Source organism: Homo sapiens, chromosome 2 (genome assembly GCF_000001405.40).
Source record: "Homo sapiens chromosome 2, GRCh38.p14 Primary Assembly".
In the NCBI taxonomy this organism is placed as follows: Eukaryota; Metazoa; Chordata; class Mammalia; order Primates; family Hominidae; genus Homo; species Homo sapiens.
Genome location: NC_000002.12, coordinates 66,464,478 through 66,476,824, shown reverse-complemented (window position 1 = coordinate 66,476,824; position 12,347 = coordinate 66,464,478). Strand labels below are relative to the sequence as shown.

General features: G+C 38.0%; 1 protein-coding gene across 1 annotated transcript in view; it reads right to left on the bottom strand.

The window, feature by feature from the left end:
• Positions 1 to 12,347, bottom strand: part of MEIS1 (Meis homeobox 1) — a 138,745-nt gene that overhangs the window by 97,045 nt on the left and 29,353 nt on the right. The gene's annotated exons all lie outside the window — the stretch shown is intronic.

Sequence of the window (12,347 nt, the reverse complement as noted above, 5' to 3'; positions counted from 1 at the left end):
AGAAATAGAAAACCAATTTCTTCTAGGGCTAACTCCGGGGGACGAGGTAGTGGTTGCTGGAGCACTGTGTGGAGAAGGACCTGCATCTGCACTCCTTTCAGGCCCCGTGACAAGGGTGCTGTGATCCATTAAAAATGGCCACCATGGAAAGGCTAGAGAGAGGCCCATCCGATGCCAGGCAGGTGCTGCCCCTGTGCCAGTTTGTTAGGTACCATTCCTCTACTTCCAAATTACTCAGAACCTGCTCACTAGGGAGACTTAACCTATGATATACTAAACTGTCTGTTCCTCCACCAGACTGTCAGTTTCTTGATTCCAGAAATGACCTCTTTCACTCTGAATTCCCACATTTAGCAGAGGACCGGTATGCAGTGGACATTTAATTAATTCAGTTAATAAATGGGAATATTTCTCTTTTCACTTCTATCTTTGGGAGTAATCCTCTCATATGCTTAAAATGTACATCAAGCAATACTTTTATTTGTAGTAAATGTATTCCTTTTACCTGAGGGGATGTTTTTGGTGCCAGGATGAGGTAAGCCAAATATTCATAACACTCAGCCCCCTCCAGCTTTATAGGCTGAAGTCATATTCCCTCAGAACTTTCATTTTTAAGGACTGCAGCATCAGAACCTTCCATTCTGGCATCCCATCTTAGCCTCTCAGCATCTCCATTCTAACCATTGTTTACCTGAATCTCTCTGGTTCCATTAACCCTGTTCCTGGGGATAATAACCAGAGTAACAACAGCATCCTCAACCCCATTCCTGACTTCAGATGGAGGGAGAAAAGACTGGAGAATGAGGCGAACCCACCAGAGAATGGTCAGAAGAAGGAGACAGACAAGAGAAGAAAGGCCTCATGGCATCACCAAATACTCAGCACCTTGGCTCACATCAAAATAGGCTGTCATTCATTTCAACCATGAAAATCAAGACTCAGATTCCAATGAGTTAAAGAAACAAAAGGATGAATATGATTACAGATACCTAGTCCAATCAATCAAATATGTATCAACAATTATTATAACTGCAGCATTGTTCTAGGAGCTGGGGAATGTAAGAGGAGTCCTACAGATGCTGTCAAGGATGCCAGCCTCTGCCATCTCCCTGGACTCCCTGTGTGAGGATACGAGGAGAATTTCTTTCAGATCTTAATGCTGGTCAAATCGATTCTTCTGAGCAACTTCCATGGATGTTGTAAATCTTGTAATTAATTATATTTCAGTCTTTGTTTTAGCTGCTAGGAAGCTCAGGGCCAAATTAATACCTATTTCTAGTCATTGTACATGATCTTATAATTTATATTGCTTGGTACTACCCTTATTTCTTGGCTTTTTGTTTATTTTGCTTTCATTCTAATTCGTTCATCTACACATTTTTTATCCTATTGTATACTATAAACTTTTATTAATTTCCTTAAATCCTTTCTTAGAATGAGAGGGAGAATATATATACATATTTATATTTATGCATATATAAATATATACAATATATAAATATGTTATTTATTAAATAAATATATAAATTTATTTTATATTTTTATATATAATATATTATATATTTATTTTATAAATAACATATTTATAAATATTTTTATAAATATACATATTTATTTATATAGGTGTGCATATTTATATTTTATATTTATAAATGATATTTATATTCATATATTTATATATATATATGTGTATATATATATGCATTTTAAAATCAATATATCCTTTTCTCCCAAGGTATTAAAGTATAAAAGGGTGTCAAGGTGCTAGCTGTCCTGGCTGTCATAAGTAGTAGGGGCACTCAAGGAAAGAGTCAAACTACAACAGTAAATGCTAATAACCTAGCAACAAGCCCATTGGCAAATTCAATATTTTCTGCATTCACTCTGTAGTTCTCTTTTTCTTAAAAATATACATTTTTTAAAAATGTAAGCTTTGCTACGTAAGGTCATATTCTCCTTTTCTTCTAATATGGAAATAAGTAACAGGAAGTTCTGCTGTCTTCATTCTTTGTTACAAAATAAAGTGAGCAACGTTAGGAGGGAATGCATATGAATTGATATTGGTAAGAGGGAGAAAGCCAAACTAATTGTACTAATCAAATAGAATGCTTTTAGGTTAAGCAATTATGGAAAACTATATGCAAGACTGAGCTAATCCACAAAGCCAGACACTTGAGCAAAACCCAACTTTACCAACTACATTTCTGGGACTAATCAATACAACAGGTAGACCATGCCTACATTTTTTTTTTCCTGAGGAAAATGCTTGGCATAAATTTACTGTTTGGGTTAGTTTTTGCTAGGCCAACAGCCAAAGCCTCTACTACTATTCTTAATTAGTGCTATCACCCATGATAAAGAGAAATAACATCAGGGGGAGAGCTAAATATCACAGCCCAGGGCAGGTAGAATCATGGCTGCTACTGGGAAGGGCATAGGACATAAAAACATCCTCCCAGGGTAGCATAGTTACCCTTGCTACAGGGTCCTGTCTCAGAATTCAGTCTCACCTCAGCCCTATAATCCCTCAAAAGATCCTCAGATGCTGCTCCTGGCATCCACCCATCTTCTGTTAGATGCTCACTGCGGGGCAGAGGGTGATGTCCCAGGGTAGGAGTACGGAGAACAAGTGATTAGGTGGATGGCATGATTTAAGGTCAAGACCTCCATATGCATGTGTTCTACATCCACGTATTCAACCAACTGAGGATAGAAGGTATTTGAAAAAAAAAATGGATGATTGCATATGTACTGAACATGTACAGACTTTTTTCTTGTCATTATTTTCTAAACAATACAGTATAACAACTATTTGCAAAGCATGTACATTGTACCAGGTATTATAAGTAATCTAGAGATTATTTAAAGTATATGGGAGGATGTGCATAGGTTATATGCAAATACTATGCCATTTAATAGCAGGGAATTGAGCATCTGAAGATTTTGTTGTCTGCGGGGTTGAGGGGAGAGGGTCCTGGAACCAATCCCTGGGGGATACCAAGGGATGGCTATACATCCCCAAACCCATTTATTTAACTTCTGACACTTAAGTTTAGAAGTTGTTAACCTGGGCTATATAGACACCTCCTCAAGGGAGATCCATGGTTAGAATTCAGGGGATATATGTACTTGAGAAGGGGAAAAAATTACATTTTTATTATCAATAACTTCAATTAGAATTAGCATTTCCTTCATGCTTGTATGTAAGTAAGTAACAAACCACAGAACTATTAGCAGGACCTGTAACTTTGTTCCCAACGGAAATCATATTTGCATATCACAATATAGTTGTTATAAATATCTTAAAACATGACTTACATTTATCACTACTTCAAAAATTCAGCAGACAACAGAATTACTAGTAGATCTTGTTATTTAAGCCTATTTAACAGAGCACTTATATTACTATATATATATATATATATATTTTTTTTTTTTTTTTTTTTGACATGGAGTCTCACTCTTGTTACCCAGGCTGGAGTGCAATGGCACAATCTCGGCTCACCGCAACCTCTGCCTTCCAGATTCAAGCGATTCTCCTGCCTCAGCCTCCCAACTAGCTGGGATTACAGGCACGCACCACTATACCCGGCTAATTTTGTATTTTTAGTAGAGATGGGGTTTCTCAATGTTGGTCAGGCTGGTTTTGAACTCCTGACCTCAGGTGATCCGCCCACCTTGGCGTCCCAAAGTGCTGGGATTACAGGCATGAGCCACCGCGCCCGGCCTTATATTACTATATTACAACTTGGCTTTAAAAAATATTTAGAAGATTGAATTTTAATACAATTCACTGCCCTTGTAGTCCTGTGGGTTTTATTTGATACATTAATAAATATATTACTCTGATAAGGTATCCATTGGCTTCACCAGACTGCCAAAGGGGTCCTCTCCTCCTCAAAATGTCAAGATTCCCTTGAAGAAGATCAATCTGAGTCAGCAGCCAGGTGACTAATGGCGGTGAACACAATGATGACCCCAATGGTTCAGACAGCAGAGGCACTGGCTGGCTCATGGCAGTGTGGAAGGACTGGACCAAGTTTCCAAGAGTGGGCTCTGGAGCCAAGTCCACCTAACAGGGCCCCATAGATGCTGAACGTCTACACCTACCAAGGTAGTGCTGTCCCTCTGCAATTTGAACCTAATACCCACCACGCTGTGTTTCATCCAGCAGGCCTGACCACGGAGTTCACCATGTCTGGGTCATTGGCATGTTGTGAAATAAATACACTCACGGCTCCCTAAGAATATCCAATATTTAGCAAATATTTTACTTTGATATGCTTGATGTTCTTGGTAGCACACAGGAACTTCCTAAGGGCAAATACTATGACCTACTCATTTTTATAGCTCACACAGAGTACCTGGCACACAGTAAGTGCTTAATCTATTTTTGATGACTTGACTAGAATGTATAAATTTACATTCCCATCCCCCGCTTAAACACAACTCATGATAATATTTTGGCTCATCTGCAGGAGAGATTATAATTCTAAACTCTTTTTATCTCCTTGGGCTACATTAAATGGATGCTTCCCTAAAATTAACTTCCTCACTTCTGCCTTGCCAAGAATGACACCATGTGAAGAATCTACCACCTGAAACAATGAATTCTCTCCTTATTTATTTCCTTGGGTAGAAACTGAAACACATGTTTGAGCTGTGCCAGGCTGTGTGTGGTGGCCCTGGAATGCCTGGGAGATCTGGCCTGAAAAACAAGTTATTGCTTATAGTTTAAAACCCAATGCAGACTCAAGAGAAGAAGGGAAGGTGAGAAAGGATAAGAGAATGAAAAGGCCTTACATAAAAACTGAATTAAATAATTACAGATTAAGACCTGGGTTTTTAAAGCTAATATCTCCATTTTCATCGTTTACATAAAACAATACAATGCATGGTATTAATATGATGTGGAACATATTTCTCTATATGTGATGTATTTTTGGAAAATATTTACAGTTTTGAAAAGAAAGAACTGAATATTATGAACAATTAACTTCCAGGTCCATGAAAACAGAAAATATATTCCACTATCACTGAAAAGCGAATGCCCTTCTAGCTAGGGGAGCTTTCTCTAATTTACAGCCAACTGAGTGAAACTGAAAAGAAGATACTTTTTAAAAAGTTTTCATGCCTCTGGCTGCAGAGCTAAATGATGAACTGACACAACATCATTATTCATATACTTCCTTACTACTTATTTCTTATTTTAAAATATTGCATGAGTCTTGGGAGACAAAAGTAGTCAATTCTAGGAAAATAAAAGAATTGGTGTATAATTTTAGATGTGCTACAAGTCACACCGGAGTTGGTATTTCTTAAAAAATGACAGCAACAACAAAATTTTAATCCATCACTTGCAACAAAACTCCAGTACCTGCACAGGTAACAGTGGCCAGTAGACAGACGTCATTGACATCACAAATCAAGTGTGCAAACCAAAGGGAAAGCAGAATTGTGACTTACAGGTCACACAATAAATATCGCACCTTTTAAATTTCAAAAATGAGAGTTCAAAATTTGATAAGAAATCCAGACCATGAATTCACACATAAATAAAAATGAGCAATCAACAGAAAATATAAGAAATGACTCTGTTGACTAATGCCCTGTCTTTTCCAATTGAGGGTCAGAACTATTCAAACCCAATCACATGAGGATGGAATCAGTAAAGGTCAATCAAAGACAAGCTGAAACTCCAACTGTCTAGCTGACCTTCAGAGCTTGTGACAAATTGCTATCAGTCAATGTCAACTAATGACAGGAGCTCTTTGGCTAATCAATTGTTCTAAAAGTGATCAAGAAAACTACTCACAGGACAGCTCATTTTCACATCAATGCCTGTGAACTATGAAAAGCTCATTTTTTGAGTTTTTAATAAGCTCATAAGTAAAGCAGTTACTTGGTAACAGAGGTCACCTTACAGAAAAAGACAGAACATTTGTCTGTCTTTTACATATTCTTTTATTACCATATTACAGTAAAAATATGCCACAGATATGCTAGAGGGCTACATAATAAAGTAGATAACACTTCATCCACTTTTCAGATAAATACTTCTGTGTTCGAAGAATATCTCTACTCGGCTGTAAATAATTTCAAATGCACTTTTCGGTTGTTTAAGATGAAAAACAATGACCTCAAGTTTACTGGTGATGTTGCCTAATAATGAGAAGAGGCACTTTCTATGAAAATGCTTATGGCCAAGTTCGTGCCCCTAAATATAGTTACTACTTTTAGATGATGAAGTTATTTTTCTTTAAGATGACCTGATTTCATGATGCTAGAAGTCAAGCAGGTGGAAACCAGAACACTGTTACTCACATTTGATGAGTCAATAAAAGGAAAGGTGAGTATATTACAGGGTGTTCTTGGGAAAACAGTTCTCTGTCTCTACATCTCATTCAACATGTTTGATAAGTTAATAATATAGACTTTTTGATAACGGCCATTTGTGGAGCATAATAACTTCCTCTTTCTTTTTTACACCTGACTTTTCCCACCAGGAAATCATTTTCCTATTCTGCCTGCCACTGCATGCAAAGGCCACACTTTAATTTGCAGGTCAACATTAAATATAACCAAAGGAACACACAGGGCTGCGATGCTCTAAGGCCTGTGGTCACAATTATATTTTACTTTTCTCTCCTCCCAAAAGTGTATTAGTCAAAATCATTACAGTGCCATTGAAATACCAGAAGTCCCTGGAGAGGTACAGGCTTAAGAAGCAAGTGTGAACAAATAGAGATCATTCAAGTCACTGTGACCAACAGACAAATGAAACAACAAAAAATAAAAATTACCGTTTGTAACCATTTTCCTTCATTTTCAAGGTTCTTAGGTTATCATTTCGTTTGTAAAATATGTTAGATTTTTTCGTGTTTTTTTTTTAAAGAAAATTGTCTAGAAACAAGCAGTATTAACTTTGTGTTTTCAGCTGAAAAGCTGCAGTGACAGCAGTTTCAGATTACATCCTGAACCTGAGTCGCTACGGTAGTTTTTCAAATTAAAATATCTTCTGTGGCCTCAACCACTCTCAAGTTGTCCATAGGAAAGAAATAAAGGAGGGAGGGCAACACTTAAGCCGAGCCATAATTGGAAGTATGTGAAAAATGAAGTGTCAGTTTGGTCAATAAAGGGCAAAGGTCAAGGGGAACTGCAGCCCAAACTCTGTGCGAAATGTGCTCATTAAGACATCCAATCAGAGCGCTCCTTCCCACCTATCCCATTATTCATCGGACAGCTGACTGTTTCAAATGCCTGGGTTTGGGCTGTTATTACTTTTCTTCTTCATGTAAAAAAGGCGAGTGATATATAAATCGTTACTCAGTCATCTGGAACATAATGTGGCCCTTCCCCACCTCCCTCGCCCGGTGCTCCCCACCCCCTCTCAGGCCGCTCTGCCTGCTGGCTTCACAGGTCTGGAACAACTGCCTGGAGAGTCCCCTCAATAATAAATGGAATTGCCTTCTGCCTATAGGTTGCCTGGACTCACACAAAAGCTGGTGTGGAGGGGGATGGGGCAGTGGGAGGCACTGCAACTATTGATACATTATGATAGAGAAATGCAGTGCTTAGCATTAATCTTCTTTAAAGAAACATCCTGGCATGCTGGTTTTGCTTTTTTTTTTTTAAGTGGTACTATTGTTATTCTGAGTCCTGCCTCCTAAAGGAGAAGTTCATAAGTGGGTTTTAGAGATTCCAGCAATCATTAAAAGCCTTTAGGGTTGAAATGTATTACATCAAATTTCCATGTAGAAATAATACTTTTTCTTTATCCTCACAAAAGAGGAAAATATGATGAGCTTTCAGTGGAAAATGTTCTGCAAGAGCAATATCTTTACTTGTTCCCATGCTTCTATTCTTAATTCACTAAGTCTTTGAATGAGTGAAATGATATAGGCTCTTAATACATAATACCAATGAATCATATCAGTCATCATGCTCCCTTTGTAAATACTTCATTCATCATTCTACTTAGCATGCAAAACTAGGTTCTCCCTCCCCAACAGAACATTACCCCTCTGAGTTTAAGGTGATTCTATCTTATTCACAGCTAGGTCACCATTACGGAGCACAGCGCCAGGTTCAGTACAGACAACTGGGGAAAGAGTTGTCAAATTGCTAACAGAAAGAATGTCTGTCAAATGATCTGTTTCTCCAGTAAAACAGTGTATCAAATAGGATGTCATAGTTAGGAGCTTGGGCTCTAGAGTCAGACTGCGTGGGTTCAAGTCCCGGCTTGAGCACCAGCCGGTGTGTGGCCTTGGACAAGTCTCCTTATCGCTCTGAGCCTCCGTGACCTCACTTGAAAAGTGAGGGGATGGAAATACCTACACTGACTGACAGCCCTTCATGTTCTATTTTATTATCTTTTTACCATCATTTATTTAGCTCTCTTAACTTTAAAGCAAAAACAGAGACCTGTCCAGACTCAAAAATGTGGTCAATCGTAGCTGAAGCTGCTTAAGAGGCATAGAGTGGCTGTGGCAGGCCTTTGGGGAAACAGTAAAAATCTAGGGGAAGAGGCACCCAATTTGCTTGAAGTTCTCCCACTCCAAAACACACAGTTCCTAGAGTAGGCTCTGATTATGGTTAGGCGGGCAGCCATGCACAGTAGGATGCAAAAGACACACGAAAGCCACACGTCTCTGCCATCATGTACCTCCCGTACCTATGAGACACTACTTGGCAGCCCTGGAAACAGACACCCCATCCTAAAGCAGCTACAAAGCCAAGAGACCAAGATCCTGAAGCTGACTTTGAGAGTTACTCTTCAATATTTCTGAGCTATTACTTCTATCTCCTGTGAAATGGGAAAATAAAGCAAGTAATTGCCAGGGATAAAATAAGGATTCAATCTGGTATCTTTGGAAGTACTTTGAGGAAGTTATGGAGTAAACAAAAATCAATGTTGTAGCAACAGCAACAGAATCCCCAACCAAACACAGATGTGAGGCCCTCCCTCTTAAATGCCAATTGAAAAGGACTTTACTATTAAAGAATCAATCTCCTGCAAGGGGCCACAAGTATTAATATTGAATGGAAGTAGATATCATAAAAAGGGTCATCATGATAAATAATTTGAATTGAGGGAAAGATATATTGTGTAAATCGCGAATAAACATTAAATCCCTGAATAATAGTACCTTGATATTTTTGTAATTACACATCTTATGTACATTCTCTTTAGAATGCCCACGATTGGATTTTTTTTTTTCTTTTCCTAGATGGGAGTCTTGCTCTGTCACCCAGGCTGGAGTGCTGTGGCATGATCTCGGCTCACTGCAACCTCCGCCTCCTGGGTTCAAGCGATTCTCCTGGCTCAGCCTCCCGAGTAGCTGGGATTATAGGCGCCCACCACCACGTCTGGCTAACTTTTGTATTTTTAGTAGAGATGGGATTTCACCATGTGGGCCAGGCTGGTCTTGAACTCCTGACCTTGTGACCCCCCCCTACCTCGGCCTCCTAAACTGCTGGGATTACAGGCGTGAGCCACTGCTCCCAGCCATGGATTTTGTATTTCTTTTTTTAATGTTTAGGTAAAAATGTGTACTAAAACTCTTTCACTGATCACAACAGCTACTAATTCAGCAAATTATCAGTCATTCAAAATTCCCCAAATTGCTGAAGCTCTAACCAGAAACTCTTACTGTATTTTGAAATCTTAGAACATTTAAAATCTCCTGCATAACTTATTTCATTTTATCTACTTTGGAAGTTCAAAAGAATAGGACTCAGTTGAGATGTATATATATATAGCCTGTTACATGCCTCCACTGTGTAGCAGATAAGGTTATTTAACAGAGGGCTAAAGCCTAGGGGATTTCTTTTTTGTTTTCTTTTCTTTCCTTTCTTTCTTTCTTTTCTTTTTTTTTTTTTTAACCACAGGTGCCATAATGAAGTGGTAAAAATGGAAAAGGAATGAGGAAAAAAGAAATGCAGTAAAAATAATATGTCAGAGAAAGTTTTAAAATATGTATTACTCCTGTCTGTGGGGGAAACACCTCTTTGGATATGTTCTTGACAGATTGAGTTATTTCTGTCTATTGGGTATGTATAAAGACATATTTATGGATTTATAAATCTTTTGAAGAGGGCTGTTATTTACCCAGTTGACTAAAATGGACTCAAACTGTGTAAATAACTATTTAGGACATGTACTACAGGCCAAATGCTGGCACAGCTTACACATCCATGCCTGCCAGAAAAGGCAAACAGGGAAAACATGGAAAAGCCACTGTGCACAGTTAATCCGAAGGCTGCACAAAGACCAAGCTCTGCAGTTCTCAGGGATGAAAAAAAGGTTTAGAAGGGTGACGGTTGGCATGGAAGTGTGCATAAGTTGTTGCAGCAACACTTTCAGGCATCATTCTGCATTTAGCAGGAATAAATTCAACTGCCAAAGAAAACCCACAAGGAAGGACAAATAAGACTGAAGGTGGGGCTCCCAACAGCTTCTGTTATCAAGCACAGAAAGGTGGGGTAGGGGAAACCAGCACAGAAAGTTTCTATTTGATGACAGTGGAAGTTATTCACTGTAGTTTTTTAGTAGAGAGATGAGGAAAGAGGGTCTGATGAGAAGAACCTTATTTAAGTAATTGGGAAACTGGAAGTTTAGGTCTGACACTCCACTGGGACCTCAACAAATCACTCAGCTTCTTTGTACCTTATTCTTCTCCTCTGTCAAGTGGGGATAGACCCACTTACTCTGCTACCCAGGATTGTTTTTAAATGATTCAGCTGAGATCATTCAAATAAGATAATTTATGTGAAACTGCCCTAAAAACAACTAGGTATTGGACTCAAATATAAAACATAAAAAGAAAAAATATAGGAAGAAACATTATAAGTAGAAAGTAATGTGAATAATATGTAGTTCCTAGTTACAATCAAATTATTAAATAGGCCTTTGGAGAACACTTGTTGAAGGAAGAAGCAGCATACAACACTCCTAATTCCTTGTTACAGCATGTCAGAGGGGAAGAACTGGTATTGGGCATTTGCTATCTGAAAATCCTCTTATCATACTATGTTTGAGAAAACAGATGCATTACAATTTTAAATTCAAGTGCATTTCAGCAGTTTGCAAGCCTTCAATGCAGCAGCTGAACTATCTACCTATTCTCAGATGATATAAGTTTTGAAAAGCAAGAAATGAAAAAGAAAAAGAAACAAGCCAAACACTAGGCTGCGACCCCATGTAGCAATTTTGGGCTACAGGAAAAAGAATTTATATTCCATTTACACCTTTTTGAAAACTCATAGTGTAAGTAGAGTTATGAAAGTAGGGCTTTATATTGAAAGTGCTGACACCACCTTAACTATAGCACTCTGAACAGCAACGCCATAACACATACATACACACACTTGAAAGAAAAAAGGCCCCTTGGATTTATGCTGCATATCATTTTCCAGTAAAAGTCAGAGGTCAGAGGTTACCTCTCAGCTCTGAACCAGTTTACTATTCTGGGCTCCGTTTTTACTAGGCTTATAGTTGTGATGAAGTCAGCAACTTTTCTTTGAACAATAAAATGTCTCAAATGTTTAAAATTATATTTGTTGAAGTTATTCCCAGTACAAACAGCATATATGTGCCTCAAAAAAATTAACTTTCCTGTTTTTGTTTTCAAATTAATCACACTAAATTCATTGTAGACTTTGCAATTTTAATTGGTAGAGCCCAACTAAGTTAGACAACAAAATTCCTTTGTTGTCTAACAGCACTCCAGTGAAACATGATCATAAAACCAGATTTTAAAGTATGTACCTACTGTGGGCTCAGAGTCAACTTCAATAAAACAGCCTTTTTATATTCAGATAAAGAATTCTCTTTTAAACTTTAATTGCATTAATGGAACACAAAATCCACACAGCGGGCTCTCATGAAAAGCAGTACAGACATTTGAATACTCAATTCGCCCTTTTGCTGAAGACTAGCTTGATGTTTAAACTTTATTTCCTACTAGTTATAGTCAAACATGCATAATCCATGGACACTCACATACACATAGGTATGTGCATTCACAGGACAACACAAATTAACCTGTTATCTTTCCATGTCTTCCTAAATTTTATTTAGTCTGGCTTTGCAATGAAGTCAAGCACTTAGGAGATTCAGATAAGTAAAACCAGAAAAAAATGACTTCAACCCAGTGGAGAGGGAAGCCGAGCATGTGCTACTAAAGGGCTCACAGCCTTATAAGCATCCTAAGACATCATTAACTTGGAATCCTAGTGGATGTTTCTTCATGAGCTCTTGAAAAGCCTCTGAGGGCAAGTAGTAATAATACTTTTTATTTGTATAGCAGGGTATGAATGGCATACTATTTATTCACATTCAAACT